The 23195-nt window shown below is 36.2% G+C and overlaps 1 protein-coding gene across 27 annotated transcripts in view; it reads right to left on the bottom strand.

The window, feature by feature from the left end:
- Positions 1 to 23195, bottom strand: part of PCNX1 (pecanex 1) — a 207924-nt gene that overhangs the window by 43683 nt on the left and 141046 nt on the right. For 23 of the 27 annotated variants that reach the window (XM_005267420.5, NM_014982.3, XM_005267422.5 and 20 more), the window contains 4 exons: positions 20940 to 21048; positions 19688 to 19817; positions 16138 to 16196; positions 13976 to 14191 (listed from right to left, as the gene is read on the bottom strand). In XM_005267420.5, coding sequence (XP_005267477.1) covers positions 13976 to 14191; positions 16138 to 16196; positions 19688 to 19817; positions 20940 to 21048 — 514 coding nt within the window. Of the gene's footprint in view, positions 1 to 13975; positions 14192 to 16137; positions 16197 to 19687; positions 19818 to 20939; positions 21069 to 22554; positions 22711 to 23195 lie in introns of those variants that run through there. The other 4 variants (XR_245673.5, XR_007063992.1, XM_047431130.1 and 1 more) reach the window with 3 other exon arrangements.

Here is a 23195-nt window from a genome sequence, read left to right as displayed (position 1 = left end):
AATGAAAAGAGGTTTAACTGGCTCACAGTTCTGCAGACTGTACAGGAAGTGTGGCTGGGTAGGCCTCAGGAAACATAATCACGGTGTAAGGTGAAGGAGAAGCAAGCACATTTTACATGCTGGAGCAGAAGGAATAGGGTTAAGGGGGAGGCGCTATACACTTTTGAACAACCAGATCACATGAGGACTCACTATCATGAGAACAGCAAGGGGAAAATCTACCCCCATGATCTAATCACATCCCACCAAACCCCTCCTCCAACACTGGGTATTACAATTCAACATGAGATTTGGGCAGGGACACAAATCCAAACCGTATCACCAGGATGGGCCAAAAGTTAGGCCTCATGCACCAAATAGCCAAGTTGTGAATGCAAAGGAAACATTCTTGAAGAAAATTAAAAGTGCTACTCCAGTGAACAAACAAAAGATAAGAAAGCAAAAAAGCCTTATTGCTGATATGGAGAATGTTTGAGTGGTCTGGAGAGAAGATCAAACCAACTATAACATTCCCTTAAGCCAAAGCCTGATCCAGAGCAAAGCTCTAACTCTCTACAATTCTTTGAAGGCTGAGAAGCAAGCAAGCTGCAGAAGAAAAGTTGGAAGCTAGTAGAGATTGGGTCATGAGGTTTAAGGAAAGAAGCTGTCTTCATAACATAAAACTGCAAGGTGAAGCTGCAAGTGCTGACGTTAAAGCTGCAGCAAATTATCCAGAAGATCTAGCTAAGATCACTGATGAAGGTGGCTACACTACAACAACAGATTTTCAAAATAGACTAAACATCCTTACACGGAAAGAAGATGCCATCTAGGACTTTCACAGCTAGAGAGGAGTCAATGCCTGGCTTCAAATCTTCAAAGGACAGGCTGACTCTCTTTGATAGGGTCTAACGGAGCTGCTAAGTTTAAGTTGAAATGCTCATTTACCATTTCAAAAATGCTAGAACCTTTAAGAATTATGCTAAATTTCCTCTAACTGTGCACTATAAATGGAATAACAAAGACTGGATGACAGCACATCTGTTTATAGCATGGTTTACTGGATATTTTAAGCCTACTGTTCAGACCTTCTGCTCCAAAAAAAGGATTCCTTTCCAAATATTACTACTCATTGACAATGCACCTGATCACCCAAGAACTCTGATGGAAATGTACAAGACATTAGTGTTGCCTGCTAAGACAACATCCGTTCTGCAGTCTGTACATCAAGAAATAACTGCAACTGTCAAGTCTTATTACTTAAGAAATAAATTTTGTAAGGCTATAGCTGCCACAGAGGGATTCCTCTGATGAGTCTGGGCAAAGTAAACTGACAACTTCCTGGAAGGGATTCACCCTTTTAGATGCCAGTAAGGACATTCATGATTCATGGGAGGAGGTCAAAATGTCAACACTAATAGGAATTTGAAATAAGTTGATTCATGGATGACTTTGTGGGGTTTCAAGACTTCAGTGGTGGAAGTAATTGCAGATATGGCAGGAATAGCAAGAGAAGCAGAATTAGAAGTGAAATCTGAAGGATGTGGCAGAATTGCTATAATATCCTGATAAAACGTAAAGAGCTGACGCGTTGTTTCTTATGGTTGAGAAGAAAGCAGTTTCTTGAGAAGAAATTGACTCCTAAGTGAAGATGTTGTGAGCCTTGGTTAAAATGACAACAAAGGATTTATAATACTACATAAACTTGATGAATAAAGCAATAGCAAAAAGTTTGAGAGCACTGACTCCAATTTTGAAAGAAATCATACTATGGGCAAATGCTATTAAACAGCATCGCATGCTACAGAGGAATCCTTCATCAAACAAAGAGTCAATAAATGTAGCAAACTTCATTGTTGTCTGATTTTAAGATCTTGCCAAAGCTGCCCCAACCTTCGGCAATCACCAACCTGACCAGTTAGCAGCCATCAACATCGGGGCAAGACCCTCCATCAGCAAAAAGATTACAACTCACTGAAGGCTCAGATCATCCTTAGCATTTATTAGCAGTAAATTTTTAAAATTAAGATATGTAGTACATTCTTTCTTTAGCCATAATGCTATTGCACATTTAATACACTACCATATAATGTAAACATAACTTTTATATGCAGTGGAAAACCAAGCAATTTGTGTGACTTGCTTTACTGCGATACTTACTTTACTGCAGTGGTCTGAACCCAACATGCAATATCTCCAAGGTATGCCAGTAATACATACACATGTTTTTCAACATAATAAAAACATATGCAATATTATAAAGTGTCTTTTAAACCAATAATAGAAATGAAATTAATCAAACATCTTCTGACATCTTTTGAGAGGATCATGTTTTACTACAGTGACCTTTTAAAATAGAATTCTATTAATTTGCTAATATTTAAATTGACTTTAAAAATGAAAAATGGTTCAATTTTTTTAGAGATACTGATATGGTTTGGCTGTGTCCCCACCCAAATCTGATCTTGAATTGTAGCTCCCATAATTCCATAATTGTGAGAGGGACCTAGTGGGAGATAGCTGAATCATGGGGGCAGTTCCCACATACTGTTCTTGTGGTAGTAAGTAAGTCTCAAGAGATCTGATGGTTTTATAAGGTGTTTCCCCTTTTGCTTGGCTCTTATTCTGTCTTGCCTGCTGCCATGTAAGATATGCCTTTCACCTTCTGCCATGACTGGGAGGCCTCCCCAGCCACATGGAACTGTTAAGTCCATTAAATCTCTTTTTCTTTATAAATTACCTAGTCTCGAGTACGTGTTTATCAGCAGTGTGAGAACAGACTAATATAGGCACTTATAAAAAAGGACTGCTAGTTTCTGCTTACTTTGCAATTGCAGGATTTTTGCATCTATAGGCACAAGCAAAATTAAACTATACTTATTTTTTATGTGAACTTATATACATGTATACAAAATGTATATATCCATATATGTATGTATGTGTAGAAGTATACATAATATATAATGTATATAAAATATATAAATGTTATTTGTATATTATATATACATACATATATGCATGTATATGTTCACATAAAAAATAACTGTAATTTTGCTTGTGACTATACATGCAACAATATATGTATATATATTTTTATACACACACACACACACACACACACACACACACGCACGTACATACAAACCTAAAAAGTCTACCAACCAAAGAGTCCAGGACTGGACGGATTCACACAGTATATGTATGTATACATATATATACATATATATGTGTGTGTGTATACATATGCACATATATATGTATATACACATATATACATATACATACATATATACATATACATATAAATACATATATATACGTATACATAAATATACACACATATATGTATACATGTATGTATACATATATATACACATATATATATTTTTTGAGATGGAGTCTCACTCTGTCACCCAAGCTGGAGTGCAGTGGCACAATCTTTGCTCACAGCACCCTCCACCTCCTGGGTTCAAGCGATTCTCCTGCCTCAGCCTCCTGAGTAGTTGGGATTACAGGTGTCCACCACCATGCCTGGCTAATTTTTTTTTGTATTTTTAGTAGAGACGGGGTTTCACCATGTTGGTCAGGCTGGTCTCGAACTCCAAACCTCAGATGATCCACCCGCCTAGGCCTCCCAAAGTGTTGGGTTTATGGGTGTGAGCCACTGTGCCCAACCCACTTAGTCACATTTTGATATCAGTATTACATTAGTTTTTTAAAAGCTTGGAGAAATTTAGCTTTTTTCTCCATGTGCTACAACTAATTAGAAATTTCTAGAAGAAACTTCCAAAGCCTTTTTTTTAATTGTGAAACTGAACAACCAGCTCCTGAATGACTACTATAATGACTACTAGATATATATAACGAAATGAAGGCAGAAATATATAAGTGCTTTGAAACCAATAAGAACAAAGACACAACGTACCAGAATCTCTGGGACACAGCTAAAGCAGTGTTTAGAGAGAAATTTATAGCACTAAGTGCCCACAAGAGAGAGCAGAGAAGATCTAAAATCAACACCCTAACATCACAATTAAAAGAACTAGAGAAGCAGGAGCAAACGAATTCAAAAGGTAGCAGAAGACAAGAAATAACTAAGATCAGAGCAGAACTGAAGGAGACAGAGACACAAAAAACCCTTCAAAAAAATCAATGAAGCTAGGAGCTGGTTTTTTGAAAAGATCAACAAAATAGAACAATAGTCAGACAAATGAAGAAAAGAGAGCAGAATCAAATGGACACAAAAAATGATAAAGGAGATATCACCACCGATCCCACAGAAATACAAAGTACCATCAGAGAATACTATAAACACCCCTATGCAAATAAACTAGAAAGTCTAGAAAAAAAATAGATAAATTTCTGGACACATACACCCTCCCACATATAAACCAGGAAGAAGTTGAACCCCTGAATAGACCAATAACAAGTTCTGAAATTGAGGCAGTAATTAATAGCCTACCAACCAAAGAGAGTCCAGGACTGGACAGATTCACAGCCGAATTCTACCAGAGGTATAAAGAAGAGTTGGTACCATTCCTTCTGAAACTATTCCAAACAATAAAAAGAGAGGGACTCCTCACTAACTCATTTTATGAGGCCAGCATCATCCTGATACCAAAACCTGGCAGAGACATTAAAAAAAAAAAAGAAAATTTCAGGCCAATATACCTGATGAACATCAATGAGAAAATCCTCAATAAGATACTGGCAGACAGAATCCAGCAGCACATCAAAAAGCTTATTCACCATGATCAAGTTGGCTTCATCCCTGGGATGCAAGGCTGGTTCAACATACGCAAATCAATAAACGTAATCCATCACATAAACAGAACCAATGACAAAAACTATATGATTATCTCAATAGATGCAGAAAGGGCCTTCAATAAAATTCAACAGCCCTTCATGCTAAAACCTCTCCATAAACTAGGTATTGATGGAACCTATCTCAAAATAATAAGAGCTATTTATGACAAACCCACAGCTAATATCATACTGAATGGGCAAAAACTGGAAGCATTCCCTTTGAAAACCAGCACAAGACAAGGATGCCCTCTCTCACCACTCATATTCAACACACTATTGGACGTTCTGGACAGGGCAATCAGCCAAGAGAAAGAAATAAAGGGTATTTAAATAGGAAGAGAGGAAGTCAAATTGTCTCTGTTTGCAGATGACATGATTGTATATTTAGAAAACCCCACTGTCTCAGCCCAAAATCTCCTTAAGCTGATAAGCAACTTCAGCAAAGTCTCAGGATACAGATCAATGTGCAAAAATCACAAGCATTCCTATATACCAATAACAAACAGAGAGTCAAATCATAAGTGAACTCCCATTCACAACTGCTACAAAGAGAATAAAATACCTAGGAATACAACTTACAAGGGATGCGAAGGTCCTCTTCAAGGAGAACTACAAACCACTGCTCAAGGAAATAAGAGAGGACATAAACAAATGGAAAAACATTCCATGCTCATGGATAGGAAGAATCAATATTGTGAAAATGGCCATACTGCCCAAAGTAATTTATAGATTCAATGCTATCCCCATCAAGCTGCCACTGACTTTCTTCACAGAATTAGGAAAAACTACTTTAAATTTCATATGGAACCAAAAAAGAGCCCACATAGCCAAGACAATCCTAAGCAAAAAGAACAAAGCTGGAGGCATCATGCTACCTAACTTCAAACTATACTACAAGGCTACAGTAATCAAAACAGCATGGTACTTGTACAAAACAGATATATAGATCAATGGAACAGAACAGAGGCCTCAGAAATAATGCCACGCATCTGCGACCATCTGATCTTTGACAAACCTGACAAAAACAAGCAATGGGGAAAGGACTCCCTATTTAATAAATGGTGTTGGGAAAACTGGCTAGCCATATGCAGAAAACTGAAACTGGACCCCTTCCTTACACCTTATACAAAAATTAACTCAAGATGGATTAAAGATGTAAATCTAAGACCTAAAACCATAAAAACTCTAGAAGAAAAGCTAGACAATACCATTCAGGACATAGGCATGGGCAGACTTCACAACTATAACACCAACAGCAATGGCAACAAAAGCCAAAATAGACAAATGGGATCTAAACTAAAGAGCTTCTGTAAAGCAAAAGAAACTATCATTAGAGTGAGCAGGCAACCTACAGAATGAGACAAAATTTTTGCAATCTATCCATCTGACAAAGGGTTAATATCCAGACTCTACAAATAACTTAAACAAATCTACAAGAAAAAAACAAACAACCCCATCGAAAAATGGGCAAAGGATATGAACAGACACTTCTCAAAAGAAGACATTTATGTGGTCAAAAAACATATGAAGAAAAGCTCATCATCAGTGGTCATTAGAGAAATGCAAATCAAAACCACAATGAGATACCATCTCAAGCCAGTTACAATGGCGATCATTAAAAAATCAGGAAACAACAGATGCTGGAGAGGATGTGAAGAAATCAGAATGCTTTTACACTGTTGGTGGGAGTGTAAATTAGTTCAACCATTGTGGAAGACAATGTGGCGATTCCTCAAGAATCTAGAACTAGAAAAACCATTTGACCCAGCAATCCCATTAATGGGTATATACCCAAAGGATTATAAGTCATTCTACTATAAAGACACATGCACATGTATGTTTATTGTGGCACTGTTAACAACAGCAAAGACTTGGAGCCAACACAAATGCCCATCAATGATAGACTGGATAAAGAAAATGTGGCATATATACACCATTGGAATACTACGCATCCATAAAAAAGGATGAGTTCATGGCCTTTGCAGGGACATGGATGGAACTGGAAACTGTCATTCTCAGCAAACTAACAGAAGAACAGAAAACCAAACACCACATGTTCTCACTCATAAGTGGGAGCCGAACAGTGAGAACACATGGACACAGGGAGGGGAACATCACATACCCAGGCCTGTCGGGGGATGGGGGCCAGGGGAGGGATAGCATTAGGAGAAATACCTAATGTAGATCACTAGTTAACGGGTGCAGCAAGCCTCCATGGCATGTGTATACCTATGTAACAAACCTGCATGTTTTGCACATGTACCCCAGAACTTAAAGTATATTAAAAGAAAATTGTAACATGAAGTTGAGACTATTTCTTAGTTTTATGTGTTACTACTTCATTTTTCTTTCTTTCCAGGAAGTTTATCAAAGATTTTTAAATGACGAAATAACACAAGAGCTGTATTTTGTGCAGATCACTGTTAGTGGTGGACAGAAATCATACATGGCAAGAGGAAATGTAAAAGTTTGGACATTTACCCAACTGAGGTCCTTGTTTATAGCAGCAGAATAAGGAGAATGGGATACCTGAATTAAAGCAGAATGTTTTTACTCTACCATTCTAATCCCATGACTATTTCCACCCAATATGCCCTACTAATATATTTTGCTCAGAAAATGAAGTCAATAATTATAGCAATATTAATAATTGAAAAAAGATTTTTTTTCTGAGCAAAATGTATTACTAGGAGATATTCTGTTTTCAATTATTAATATTAATTAATAGGGATTCTATGAGGAACTATTACCAACTGTTCCCTGGATTACCTAAATCTTCCAGTCACTTCATAGTGAATATTACTGATAAAACTAAATAAAACAAACAATCATGAAAATAAGGCATGTTTAACCTGAGTAAAAATGGAAAGGAATCCAGTCAGCCGAACATACTGTTGATGTGTAAAGTTTGACTTCTAAAACTGTACCTGGTACAGTTTACACTTATCAGTAAAAAATTAACATGAAAGAAAGTGTAATCAGAAAATTCTGATATAGACAAAAAATGACTGATAACCCAAATTTTTCACATAAAGTTTACATGGAAAGAATCTAGAGTATCTGTAAAATAAAAATGGAAATGAGAAATATGAATGGGTTTAACTAAGAGCTATAAAAACTGATCAAGAAACTTGTTTCAATATTACTTAAAAGTAAGCATCCAGGATAGACAAATAAAATTTAAAAATAATAAATTGGCTGAATGGAGTCTGTCTTGGAAAGTAGATAAAATGCTCAGCAGATCCAAATATCTGCCTGGCAAAATAATGACACTTTTGATTAATATTTGGCAGACGGGTAGGTGAGACAGGGGATCACACTATAAAGAAAAGGAAGTAACCAAAGATCACATCAACATGTGAGCAAGAGTATACTCATCCCTCATGAGAGCTCTGGAATGAACAGAAAGAAGAAAAGGCTACACACTTACATTATTTAATCAGTCTACGAAACTAACAAAATACTTATTATATACTAATTGCTGTGTGTGATAGGTACTGGGTACATAATGATAAATGAAGTACATGTGATTCCTGCCCTTTACAATCTGCCTATATTCTAAAACAAAGATTGATCAACTTCAGCCCAGGGCCAAATCCAAGCTTAGAATGGTTTTGATATTTTTAAGGGGTCATTTAAAAGAAAGAGAAAACAACAAAGAAGAATATGCAACAGAGAATGTGTATGGCTCTCAAACCCTAAAATATTTACTGTCTGGTTCCTAACAGAATAAGTAGGCCAACCCTTTGGCTAGAGAAAAAATAAACTTTAAACAATAAACAGTCACATGTTGCATAACTATGGGGATACATTCTGTGACATGCGCTGTTAAGAAATTTCGTTGTGCAAACATCATAGAATGTACTTACACAAACCTAGATGGTACAGCCTGCTACACATTTTGGCTATATAATATAGCCTATTGCTCCTAGGTTAAACACACCTGTACAGCATGTTATAGTACTGAATAATGTCACTAACGGTAATACAATGGTAGGTATCTGTGTATCTGAACACATCTAAACACAGAAACGGTACAGTAAAAATATGGCAAAAAGATAAAAAATGGTATATCTATATAGGGCACTTGCCACAAATGGAGTTTGCAGGACTGGAAGTTGCTCTGGGTGAGTCACTGAGTCAGTAGTGAGTGAGTGTGAAGGCCTAGGGTGTTACTGTACACTACTGTAGACTTTATAAACACTATACCTTAGGCTACATGAAATTAATTATTTTCTCCAATAATAAATTTACCTAAGCTTACTGTAACTTTTTTACTTTATAAACTTTCAATTTTTTTAAACTTTTTGACTCCTTTGTAATAACGCTTAAATTAAAACACATATTGTATAGCTGCATAAAAATATTTTTTCCTTATATCCTTATTCTGTAAGCTTTTTTAAAATTTTTTTAATTTTTAAACTTTTTTGTTAAAAAATTTTTTAAACATTTTAAAATGTTTTAAAACTTTTAAAAATTTGTTTAGAAAAATTTTTAAATATTTTTAAAATTTAAAATTTTTTTACTTTTTAAGCTTTTTTGTTAAAAACTAAGACACAAACACACACACTAGCCAAGGTCTACACAGGCTCAGGGTCATCAATATCACTGGCTTCCACCTACACATCTTATCCCACTGGAAGGCCTTCAGAAGCAATGACACACATGGAGCTGCCATCTCCTATGACAACAATGACTTCCTCTGGATACCCCCTGAAGGACCTGCCTGAGGCTCTTCTTGAGGAGGTATCACTCTTTGAAAAATTATGTCCACAATAGTTTGCTTGGTTTGTTTCTTTCATTCATCATAGATTTGCTTGTTGTATGCAGATAATGCAGCAAGAACATTCCTCTCTATTAATGAAAACCTTTTGGTGTTATGGTCCATGTTTTCAAACTTTTTAAGGAGCTTGTTGAGCTCCTTAAAAAGCTTCTGCTAAAGCTTCTGCTAAAACCCTTCACTGTGAATTTTCTTGGGGTTTCTTCTTTTTCTTCTCTAGCTGTTTCCCTTTCTCTGGCCTGTTCTTCAGCTATGTGTTCCTGTTCCAGTTCCAACAACCCCTCATTAGTCAGTTCCTCAGGAACCACCTCTAGGTGCTCATCAATGTCATCCTTGTCCACACCATGGTTAAAGTTGCTTGCCATCCCAACCACAGCCATGTTGATTTTTGCAATCTCTTCATCCTTGGCAAATCCTTTGAAGTCACAGATGAACCTCTTGAGTGTCTTCTTCCAGATGCCATTCATACCCATATTGGTGACATCACCCTAAGCAAGGTTCTTGATGCAGTCATAGATGTAATCCTTCCAGAATTGCATCAGTGTCTTTTCAGTTGCAGAAATAGCCTGGGTAAATGTCCTTCTCAGGTGGTAGGTCTGAAAAGCTGCGACAACTTCTTGATCCATTGGTTGGATCAGAGAGGTGGGTGTTTGGAGGCAGAAATACCACTTTGATACCGGGATAAAGATCACCAATAAAAGGAGGATGTGTGGAGCATTATCAACAATAAGCACAATCTTGAATGGTATGTTATTCTCCAAACAGTACTTCTCCATTGTGCTGGCAGAGCAATTCAGGAGGGCATCTGGGAAGAAAAGCTGGGTCATTCAAGACTTCTGATTGCTCCTGCAATACACTGGCAGTGTGTGCTTAGTGATAAGCTTGAAGGCCCTGGGGTTCTCACTGGGCCAGATCACAAAGGGCTTCCATTTGTAACCTGCAACGTTTCTCCCATGCAAGACTGTTATCCTGTCCTTAATAACTTGAAACCTGGCATTGACTTGGCCTCTTTATGGATGAAAGTCCTTTCCAGTATCTGTTTTCAGAATAGCAAGCTTTCATCTATACTGAAGATTTGCCCTGTGAAGTAATTTTCCTCACAATCAGCTTATCTAGAGTTCCAAAAATTCTTCAGCTGCTTTCACATCAGCATTTACAGACTCACCACTCACCAGCTTTCACATTATGCAATAAATAACAATTCTTGAATAAAATCACACAGAGCTAGCAGAAAATTCAACACTGTAGTTGTGTTCAATCTTATCTTTCAATATCGCAAACAAACTTTTTGTTTTGTCTGTGATTGTCATGATGCTGAGAGGTATAATATGCTTCTGTGTCTGGTCTTCAGTAGTTTCTCCATGTATGATTTAGGCCCTTTTCAAATTTTTGTTCATCTTTTTGTCTTCAATGAAGCAGATCCTTTAATGGCTTCTGTCACTTTGTTCTTGTTCTTCAAGATCACAGCTATGGTGGAATGGGACATAATTACCTGACAACAACCATTGCTGATTTGCCACCTTCATAGTCCTTAATCACTTTTAATTTAGCTTCCTGGTCAATCTACTCGATGTGGCCTCTTCCTGGCAACAATAGCTGTGAATTTTGCACATGTAGGGGCCATAAAATCGAATGACACAAGATCAAATCAAACACAGAGAAAATGATGCAATCAAGAGATACAGTAAATGTGAGATGTATGAGTCTGCCACTAGCATAACAAGACATACTGTTCTAAAGTAAACTTTTTTTTCTAAGTACAAGGAGTACATTCTAACCATAAAAAGTATAGCATAATATAATAAACACATAGTTGTTTATTATCATTATCTAGTACTATGTACTGTACATAATTGTATGTGCTAGATTTTTACATGACCAGTAGCATAGTTTTGTTTATACCAGCATCACCATAAACACAAGTAATGCTTTGTGATAGGACAGAATGGCTACGATGTCACTAACAGGAATTTTTCAGTTCCATTATAATCTTAAGGGACCATTGTGATATGTGCAGTCCATTGCTGCAGTCCATGACTGTGTAAGAATCTAACGATAAAAACATGGTAAAGTGAGATAATCACGTGGGATAGGTGGCTAGAGAAGGCTTCTCTGAGAAAGGGACATTCAGGCAAAGGAATCAGCCAGATGGAGGATTAGGGGAGAAAGAGAGATGGCTGGCACTTTCTGGCAAAATGAAGGGCAATAAGGAGTCCTTAGTAAAGAATTTAGCACATCTAAGAAACTGCAAGAAGGCCAGTGTGGCTACAGTGAGTGCAGATAGTGCTGTAAAGTGAGGATGGAGAAACTGGCAGAGGCCAGATCACAGAGTACCATAGGATGTGTTCAGGCATTTGAATTCTATGTTAAATGCAATGAGAAGTCACTGAAAAATTGTAAGCGTGCGAATGCCATGATCAAATGTGTCTTTAAAAAAATCCCGGCTGGGTGTGGTGGCTCGCACCTACAATCTCAGCACTTTGGGAGGTCAAGGCTGGAGGGTCGCTTGAGCTCAGGAGTTCAAGACCAGCCTTGGCAAGGTGGTGAGACTCCTATCTATACAAAAGTAAAAATTAAAAAAAAATTAGCCAGGAGTGGTGGTGTGCACCTGTAGTCCCAACTACTCAGGAGGCTGAGGCAAGAGGATCCCTTGAGCCCAGGAGTTTGAGGATGTAGTGAGCTGTGATCACGCCACTGCACTCCAGCCTGGGTGACAGAGCGAGACCCCTGTCTCTTAAAAAAAAAAATGCTAATGTCTGAGTTAAGAATTACAGGTATCCCTTGTTACCCAAATCTATAGGAGTTCAAAGAGTAAGGGTTGCTGTATTTTCAAATTTGAGTTTTGATTGGCAAATAATTAGCATTTAGATAGCAAAAGATTTATCCAAAAGTTTATCTGAATCTACTCAATACCAGAGAATAAAAATCTGGATAACTTTTCTGATTTGGAGAACTACTGATCAATATGATGGAGTGAGCAGATGGTAAGAAGAACCACCCCCCCTTTCATTTCACATATGTAGAAATGTTAGATAAAACAGCCTCCCATGCACATTTATTTTAAAAAATTAAAATTAAAAAACAAGGATGAAGTCTTCAGGTGCCAAAACTTAAAAAGGAAGCTAAAAGTCACAGCAGTAGCAGGAATGGTGGTAAGGGTATGCTAACTTTTGGATGAGCCTAGTTGGATTAGGATTGAACAGCCTGGGGTTAAGACTCTGGAAGAGATGGAGTTAAGGTCCTAGGCTCCTGATGGAGAGGCAGAAACAAATATTCATAAGGCAAGAATAAGATATTTTGAAGGAAAAGAGAATATGAATGGATTATAAACAGATCACAAGTAAACATCAACATTTACTCCGCATTAATTTGAGTGCTGCATAGCTAAAGATTTATTTCTAGCAAACAGTGTAACTTCTAGACTAGTACTTGCTCCACTAACATAGACACTACATAGCTAAGGTGCAAGCCTTCTTATGCAACACCAGGATGAAAATAAAGCTATGGGGTTATAGATCTGACTTCCTTCTCTTTCTAGTCAAATGCTTTCTTATTTCTATTCCAGACTAAAACTACTCCAAAGCACTTAGAATAGATGAAAAACTCTCTGAAAACTCAAGTCAAAATGTTTCCTAGACTGGAAAGATATTCAGTAACAGGACTTCAAGCATCCTGTGAAACCAGTTTCTACTTGTGCTTACATGTTATTCAGTTTTACAGGAATTGATAACATAAAGTTGATGTTTCTGAATGCGTGATTTTCTGTAAAGAAATAACTTTATCAGTATATAAAATTGTAGAGGGCTGATGGAAAGGAGAATGGCCAGTAACTACTTAATGGGTACACCGTTTTATTTTGGAGTGATGAAAATGCTTTGGAATGAGACAGAGGTGGTGGCTGCCCAACACTGTGAATGTACTAAACGCTCCTGTGATTTCTTTGCTCTAAATATCAATTTTATTTTATGTGAATTTCACCTCAATTAAAAAAAATTGTTGGAAGACAAAGGCATGGTGTTTATATGAACATAACTCAGTTAACTATTCTGCCTCACACAAAAATTCAGCATTCCATGCTGCTAGCCACCTAACAAATTTATGCAACTGGTCACAAAAGGGACCAGCAAGAGACCAAGCACAGAACAACAGAAATTCAACATATCTAGGAAAACAAATCAATTACACACTAATGCTACTACCTTTACATATAAAGCCATATTGCAAACATGATTCTTCTTGGAATATGGAATGTGGGGTGAAAAAATCTAATACTTACTCTTTAACAACTTTTCTCATTCCACAATCCCAAATATCTAATTCTATGACAACTTCTGGTTTGAGATAGAAACATGTAAAACTAAGGTGCCACAGGAGTATGCTACAGAAATAAAAGGTGAATGAATGTCTTACCTCTGAATTCAAGTCCCCGCAGCTGAAAAGTGACCAGACCATTGCCTATCTCTATAAGGTGTACTAATGCATTGAGATAGTCAGAGGCAAGGATGAAACAGTCCCCTGTACTGTAGTTTCCCCACCGTCCTAGTAGCAAATCACCACAGAGGCTGTGCTGTAGGGATCTAGTTAAATGCTCATAAAAGATGGAATTCAGATTGTTGTCATCTGATCCTATAAAAAGAGATTTTAAAAAAAGTTAAATTTAACCTTAAGTCCTCTTGACAAACAAGATTGTTAAAAATATTAAAAACTTCTAGTATGGGGTTATATTTATTTGACAAGGAAAATAACATTCATACCCTTACAGTTTCTATACAAAAGTAAAACAGGAAAATGGAAAAGGTTTCTGAATTTAGATTTAGAAGTCACATAACCTCCCGGAATCTATGGTTCTCATTCACAAAATGTGAGAATTTGATTTGAAGCAATCTAAGGACTTTTTGACCTCTTCAACAGTTCGTAATTATTCAATAAAATATGCTTTATAATTAAAACCATGGAAGAGAAATGAGGAAAATAAAAGAATTCAGAAGAAGAACAAAAGACTATTTAGTAAAGGAAGTAGATAAAATAATACAAGATTTGAACAAATAAGACAATCAAAAAGAAGCTGGTTAGTCAATATTAGCCATATTGAGATGGCTAATGTTAAGCAGAGATAAACTGTATATAGCAACAGAGAACCTTAAAAAAAGACATTAAGATAGGCTGGGTGTGGTGGCTCATGCCTGGAATCTCAGCACTTTGGGAGGCTGAGGTGGGCAGATCACTTCAGGCCAGGAGACTAACCTGGGCCAACATGGCAAAACCCTGTCACTACTAAAAATACAAAAATTAGCTGGGCATCATGGTGCACGCCTGTAATCCCAGCTACATGGGAGGCTGAGAAGGCAGAATTGCTTGAACTTGGGAGGTGGAGGTTGCAGTGAGCTGTGACTGTGCCACTGCACTCCAGCCTGGGTGACAGAGAGAGACTCTGTCTCCAAAAAAAAAAAGAAAAAGAAAGAAAAACATTAAAATAAACATCACTTAATAAATTACATGACCATCTCTAGAAGTAACTCATGCAAAGCGATAATCTGTAAATGCATGCCCCAAGCATAGTATTGGAGAATGGTAAAATATTCAGAGCTTAATAATTATTTTAAACCCAGTCTAATTGAATAAAATAATGAAAGGGAAACTCCAAATTCTAATGTCAACAAAATGGCTGTATCAATTCTATGTCAGCACAACACACAAAAATGTATATACTGATTCAGGGCATGGCCTTTGGTTATGCAGGATGGCATCATCAGCATGAGAAATCTAGCCCTTTACAAGCACATACCAGAGCTGAAATGCTTATTTTCTCTACCAGAACATGATGACGATGGTCATTAGTATCAAATAACTAGTTCTCCTTAGTCCAATTTTATCACTGAGAATTAATCAGATTTGAAGGAATTTGTAAGTCAAATGGATACAAATATTCCAGTGTATTTGGGAGTAATATTTATTTTAGTAAATTAATACACTGAGGTTCTGGATGATATGCTAATCTCTGATTCTCTGTGACAGATTACTATTGGGTGGGCCAATAAAATGATGTTTCCCAAATGACAAAACTAAGAACCAGACTTTAGATAATGGTAACACCAGCAAGGTGTCACCCACTGAAGCTCTATCCTGACTGGCTATATGCTCCCACTTGATGACATCTCTGTAAACAATAAACTGAATCAAATTAAATTAATATTGACCAAAACATTGAGGGAAGGGTGGAAGGAAACATACTAATAAAACATGTGTCAGTCTGACTGCAGACCCTTCAAACATCTGACCAGTTTTATTTTAACTGTTTTTCTACATTTTAACCTATGTAAGAACAATCTTTGAATGGAATTTTTCATTCTTATAAGCATTCTTAAGATGCATTTTATAAAAAGATGGGCATATAAACTGTAGATACTGTAATTTATATATATTTTGCTAAAGTAAAACAAATAATATTTAGTTTTTAAAAGTGAATATTTGGGATTCATAGAGGATTCCCAACAAGTTAGGAGTGAATATAAACATATATATATAAAACAAATCCTTAGTCTTGCCTCCTTAGTCACAAATAGAGCTATTACCTGGATTTCTATCAAGCTGGGAAGCCAATCTGGTATTTGAATGATCCACTCGTTTTGTGCTAAAGAAAATAAAACATTTTTAGTAACTTTCTTTACATTAAAAAATATTTAACAATTTAGACTGAGGAAGAAACTATAGGAAATGTATAAAATAAAGGTTATCACTTTATGAAAATCTCTGGAAAAAATCTGTGATTAGTATAATGATAAAATGCCTTAGCACACTTTTGGAAATTAAAAAAAAATTCTTCCCCCTTCACCACACATGAACATAGCAGTTTTTTTTTTATTGTACAGTGTATGGAAAGACATCTAGGCATGCACTGTGAGAAAAAAGCTGACCAGGATGAAAAAAATGTATACTGTATATGGTTCTTAAAAATTCAAAGAGGTTAGAACATTCTTTGCCAAAGGAAGGTGTATGTATTAATGCTCAGTGATGCAATGTTCTTTGGAACAGTAGTTCCCAAAATGTGGTCCACAGAACCTAAGGCTCTTTCAGGCAGTTTTCCAGATCAAAACTATTTTCAAAGTAACACTGAGCTGTTATTTGCTTTTTACACTGTGTTGACAACTGCACTGGTGGTACTAAAGCAATGGTAGGTAAGACTGTGGTGCCTGGGCATTAATCAAGGCAGCAGCACCAAACTGTTCTACCCTTCGCTGCCACACTTGCACAATAAAGCAAACAAAAAGTCCAAGTTTCACAAAAAAATGTCCCTAATGAAGCAATAAAAAGTATTAACCTTAATAAATCTCAACTCACAGTAAAGGCCTTTTTAATACTCTGTATGGCAAAATGAGAAAATACGTATGAAGCACTTCTGCTGCCTTCTGAAGTACAACGGCTGTCATGAGGGCAAGTATTTGTGCAACTGCTTGAACTCCGAGCTGAACTAGCTGCGTTTTTTTCTTGGAACACCATTTTTACTTAACACTGATGGAAAAATTATGAGATTATTTAGATGTGGTCATTTAACAGATATTTCCCAAAAATAAAGAAAGTGAGCCTGTTATTTCAAGGAAAACAACTGGCAATACTTGTTGACAATAATAAAAATCCAAATTTTCAAGCAAAAATTAAAATTTGGGAAACTCCTATCTACCACCATAAGCTTGACAACTTCCCAATAATTAAAATTTCTTTCCGATTGGTGGTGATGCCAATGAACATATTTTAAAATTCACTACATAATAAAATGTATCAACATTTAGAAAATCTACATTACTCAGTGAAGCAGTATTTTCCAAATGACCAACACAAAATGTTAAAAAATTATGCATGGGTAAAAGATCCATTCAGGATATAAGACAGATGAGTGAATTTTGATGTAATATAGTCCCACAAGTTCACAGATATGGTTTTAGATTCCATATTGCAAGTAGCTTTTAAGAAGCTCCCATTTCTTGGGTTTCAGTGAAAGATCAAAGAAAAATATCCATGATTGTCTTAAAAGGCTATTAGAATACTTCTTTTTTGCCTGGGCAAGGTGGCTCATGCCTGTAATCCCAGCACTTTGAGAGGCCAAGGCAGGCAAATCACTTCAGATCAGGAGTTTGAGACCAGCCTGGCCAACATGGTGAGTGAAGGTGAATTTTTTTTTTCAGCTACTTCAATCAAAACAATATACTGCACCTGACTGAATGTACAGGTAGATACAAGAATCCAGCTGTCTTTTAATAACCCAGACATTAAGAGATTTGCAAAACTATATAACAATGCCACTCTTCTCACTAATTTTTTGGGGGAGTGGAAATATAGTTATTCTTAACTTTAAAATGTTATTTATGCTAATATACAATAGATACGACATTGTTATTTTTAAATTAGTTAATAAGTAAACATTTGAAATTTTTGAGTTTTTCTTTCCACTCTAGTAAATATTAGTAGATAAAATCCATATTTTTAAAACTCTGGTGTTTCCAATAATTTTTAAGACCATAAGGCCGGGCACAGTGGCTCACGCCTGTAATCCCAGCACTTTGGGAGGCCGAAGCGGGTGGATCACCTGAGCTCAGAAGTTCAAGACCAGCCTGGTCAACATGGTGAAACCCCATCTCAACTAAAAATACAAAAAATAGCCAGGTGTGCTGGTGGGCGCCTGTAATCCCAGCTACTCGGGAGGCTGAGGCAGGAGAATTGCTTGAACCTGGGAGGCGGAGGTTGCAGTGAATCAAGATGGCGCCATTGCACTCCGGGAGGCGGAGGTTGCAGTGAGTCGAGATTGTGTCATTGCACTCCAGCCTGGATGACAAGGGCAAAACTCTGTCTCAAAAAAAGAAAAAGAAAAGAAAAGAAAAAAAAAGAGTATAAAGGGGTTCTAAATCCAAAAAGTTAAGAACTGCAGCCACTGAACATTACTTTGGGCTAATTGGTCCAGAGGAATAATAATTAATAACACCAAAATTCACCAAAATGGGAAATATCATGTGTGGTTTTAGATAAAGGACCAGAGTAAAAGTTTCAAACCTACAAACTAGCCCACTGTTTAAAAGGTGAGATTACAATTTTCACCTATTAAATATGCCAATTTGTGAAAGTATAGAGAGAAAGGCAGTCATGGAGATGGTCAGTAGAATTATAAATTAGTACAAGCTCTTTCTAAACCAATGTGTTTATATTAAAAGCCTTAAAAATGTTTATGCTCCATAACTCATAACTCCTAAAAGCGTTCCCTTTTAGGAACGCTTTCTGAAACAAAATGAAATTTGGAGAGATTACATACAAGGATAGTTACTAAGCTTCAGATTAAGTAGCTAGCCCAAGGAACTAAGCCTAAATGGAGAAAATACTTCATGCACAAAGATGGTCATTACAAACTTATCTTCTCAAAATAGCAGAAATAACCTATAAAAATTTAGCTTTAGAAATAGCCAGGTATTTCTAAGAAAACTATAACTCATTATGACTGTTATAACGATATTATATAGCATAAAGTTGCAGAGTATTATTAATGTGAAATAATTCAATATTACTGAAAGAAAAAATATAAACATGAACATATTCAATCAGAACAATGTTTAAAAATATCTTTTAAGTAGGAAAAAATGGCTGAGCACAGTGGCTCATGCCTGTGATCCTAACACTTTGGGAGGCTGAGGCGGGTGGGTCACTTGAGCTCAAGAGTTTGAGAGCAGTATAGGCAACACAGTCAAACTCCATCTCTACAAAAAATACCAAAATTAACCGACGTGGTGGCTCAAGCCTGTAGTCCTCGCTATTCAGGAGGCTGAGGCAGGAGGATCACTTGAGCCCCCCAGGAGGTGGAGGTTGCAGTGAGCAGAGACGCACCACTGCACTCCAGCCTGGGCAACAGAATGAGACCCTGTATGAAAAAAAAAAAAGGAAAGAAAGAAAAATAAAAAGTAATTTCCTCTGGCCTCTTCTTTTATATACTTTTCAAATTTTAAGACTATTTATTAAGTTTTAGCAAAAATAAATATTTCAACACAATAAATTATGAACCATAAATTCTAATAATAATGCTGTCAATAGTTTTTCCCAGTAGGAAAGATAAAAATTGTTTTTCAAGTGTTTTACTTTACTCACTTATAGTCTCTCTCCCAGAATTTCACAGGTCGGACATATGAAGTGATGAATATTGCACTTCCCAGAAAGGGGTTCAGTGGAGTAGAGAAGAAGGCCGAGACAGCAGCCTGAATAAACAGCATGGCTGAATCTATGGGAAAACTAGTTAAGGACACTGACATTCATCTGAGCACAGATGCCAAACAAACCCTCGCAAAAACCTAGCAGACACATTTAGATTACCTCAATTAGAGAACTGAGGTTCACCAGAAGAATACAAAAGAAGGTATATCACTGGGCAGTCATTAAGGGGTCACCAACAGAAAGACATACATAAAGTACAACCTGGTATGCTGCTTTCAAAGGAGCCAAATCAGTATTTGCTAATATGTATTTGGTAAAATTCATATATTAATCTTGGGAAGAGATGTTAGAGTTCAATTTTCCACAAGGGTAAAACTAAAACTTGCAGATACCATAAGTCTGTCTTTCCATATCAATGTGGTTACTAACCCTTACTATTATTTAGAAAATACTTCTAAGAAATCGTGGGAGTAGAAAATTTTTTACAGAAGTTTAATTCTATCAATTTCATAATCATATTATGAAAAAATGTTTTGTACCTTCATTTATTAAAAAATAATGCTAAACATTTCTTGTATGTATTAAAGATTCCTGGACTTTAATATTCACATATGCAAATGTAAGATTTTAAATCAGCATTACTTTCTTACAAAACCTGTATAGTTTTCTTATGTTCAGATGATCTGTGGGCCACAGATGTTAATACAAGTTAAACAATCAACAATATAGGTGTGGATATAAAAGGTTATGATTTTTTTTTTTTTTTTTTTTTTTTTTTTTTGAGACAGAGTTTTGCTCTCGTTGCCCAGGCTGGAGTGCAATGGCGCAATCTCGGCTCACTGCAACCTCTACCTCCTGGATTCAAGAGATTCTCCTGCCTCAGCCTCCCGGGTAGCTGGGATTACAGGCATGTGCCACCACACCCGGCTCATTTAGTATTTTCAGTGGAGATGGGGTTTATCCATGTTGGTCAGGCTGGTCTCAAACTCCCAATCTCAGGTGATCCGCCCGCCTCGGCCTCCCAGAGTGCTGGGATTACAGGCGTGAGCCACTGCACCCGGCCAAGATTATGAATTTTTGATAATTCATTACACAGTAAACTTACACCATGAAAGGTCATGCCTATAAACCAACATTCTTATCTAGGATATGACTGTCCATTCTTATAAAACTTTAATTAGAAGGATACGAGGCACTGCAAAAGGCTGAGCAAAAGCATGGAAAGCAGAACCCCATGTGATCTGCCATGGGGCAATATAGGTATACACAAACTGCAATTTATAAAGTAGTTCCCAAAGCTGCAGGAGGAAAAGAATGGCTGTCAGTAAAAAAAAAAAAACTTATCAGATATTTGAATTAGAAAATAAAAACCCTGTAAAATGTATTAGGAGAAGTTCTCCTAATAGGGAAATGGCATTGAAATTATTTGCCATTTACATAACAGGAAAAGATATATCAACTGCCTAAACACTGCACTTATTTCTGAGTAAAGATACTTTATAAGTAAAGATAGGTAGCTATATATGGATTTATGTTTCATCTGTTTAAAAAAAATTCTATGCCTTCTACTGGCCATATTATGCTACTACAAGCAAAACAAAGTAAGGTAGAAAGCAGCCAAATAACTGTTCTTGAAAAAAACATTGGGAGATATACCTAATGCTAGATGATGAGTTAGTGGGTGCAGCGCACCAGCATGGCACATGTATACATATGTAACTAACCTGCACATTGTGCACATGTACCCTAAAACTTAAAGTATAATAATAATAAATAAAAAAAAAGAAAAAAAATCAAGATGTCTGCAAAGCTTAAGTAATACATATATTTATTTTATTCTAAGACACATTTTCCCCAAACTTTAGTGCTTTGGAAACTATGTTTTAAATGTAATGTCAAAAGGAATGTGAAAAACAGCATTTGTAATACAGTTGTCACTGCCTGTTTCCATAGAAATTTAGTTGTGTATACCAGGCATCTGTTCATAACCTTAATTGTTGTCAGTGGAAACAGGATACACATTTTAATTTCATTTAAGGTTGAATATGCCACAGTTGAACAGTTCTTCAATGCTGAAACAGAGTTGCTGTACTTGTCCAAGATTGCCTCTGCATGATTAAGCAACAATCACCTCATCCTTTAAAATACTTTAACTGATTTACAAACGAACTTAACTTCCAATTTAAAAAAGAAATCACAACTCCAACCAATTAAAAAATGTAGATGAACTGCAGTATTTTTGCCATGACTCAAAATTATTTTTGCCATGACTGAAAATTATGCAATCCTCGGCACTAATATAATCAGGATCATGGTAAGTAAAAGCAGCATGTATATCATCACGATGCCATTATAATGACTTAAAAGCAATGACTCAGAAAGCTCTTCAGAGTCTGTGAAACAAACTGTATTCCAATTTTGACTATAATATTAAAGAAAAGAACAATATGTAACAATATGTAAAGGATGGTAGGCAAAGGGATTTCTGTATACATTTAATTTTTCTTAAAAGGTTATTAAATCCATGATGTACCTTACAATGATATCTTAATGTAAAAAATGTATCTGAAGAAATCCCTTGAATATTACTGATTATCATTGTTAAATTCTATCTACTGACCAATTTAAATACAAACTCAAGGGGAAAGCTTTCTCTATTTTGTTCATTGGTGTAGCCTAAGCATCTAGAACAGTTCTAAAACAGTTTTTTGTTTTAAAAAATATATTTAACAAATAAAAAGTATTAAGAAAATCCAAACTAATGCAGAGTTAAGTGTAGCAACTACATTTCAAAGATTATTTACTTTATATTTTACTGCAACTTTCACTTTTTTCCAACCAGTATAAGATGAAATACAATTTTCAATCTAAATATTTGAGTTTGTGGGAAACCACATGCTTCTTTATACAATTCTCTGATTAATTTTCTGGCTTCCTCCTTTGGTTAATAACCATACTCACTAGAAGAGGAAATAAATGATAAAAATACAAATTAGTGACTGAACAGATATAATATTGAAATATTTTAGAAGCTATTTATCACAATACTGAAATTGACTATCAATGAAACTTTGCTCAAATTAACGGCTTTCCATTTTTACTGTTCCCCATCCTAGATCAGACTACTATCACATCTGAATTACTGTCATTATCGCTTAAGCTGTTCTCTGTACCTTTAGGTTCTCTCTTCCCCAAATGAAGCCAAATGTGGCTGACCAGGCTAACTTCCCTAAAACTGGAATTTCATTGTGTTTTGTAGCTGTTCATTTGCTTCAGCTCTCTGTTACCTATCAAATGGGATAATGTATGTCAAAGTCCTTTGTATGTGGTCAGTGTTAACATGAAATTGAATTACTATTTCACTGACAAATAATCTGACTGTACAGCCTATTTCACTGAGAAAGGTAGTGTGATTCAGCAAAAAGATTCTTGGGTTAGGAGGCAG

The sequence above is a fragment of the Homo sapiens genome, chromosome 14, assembly GCF_000001405.40.
Source record: "Homo sapiens chromosome 14, GRCh38.p14 Primary Assembly".
Lineage (NCBI taxonomy): Eukaryota > Metazoa > Chordata > Mammalia > Primates > Hominidae > Homo > Homo sapiens.
Note: the sequence above shows the minus strand (reverse complement) of the source record. Positions and strands in the feature narration are given on the sequence as shown.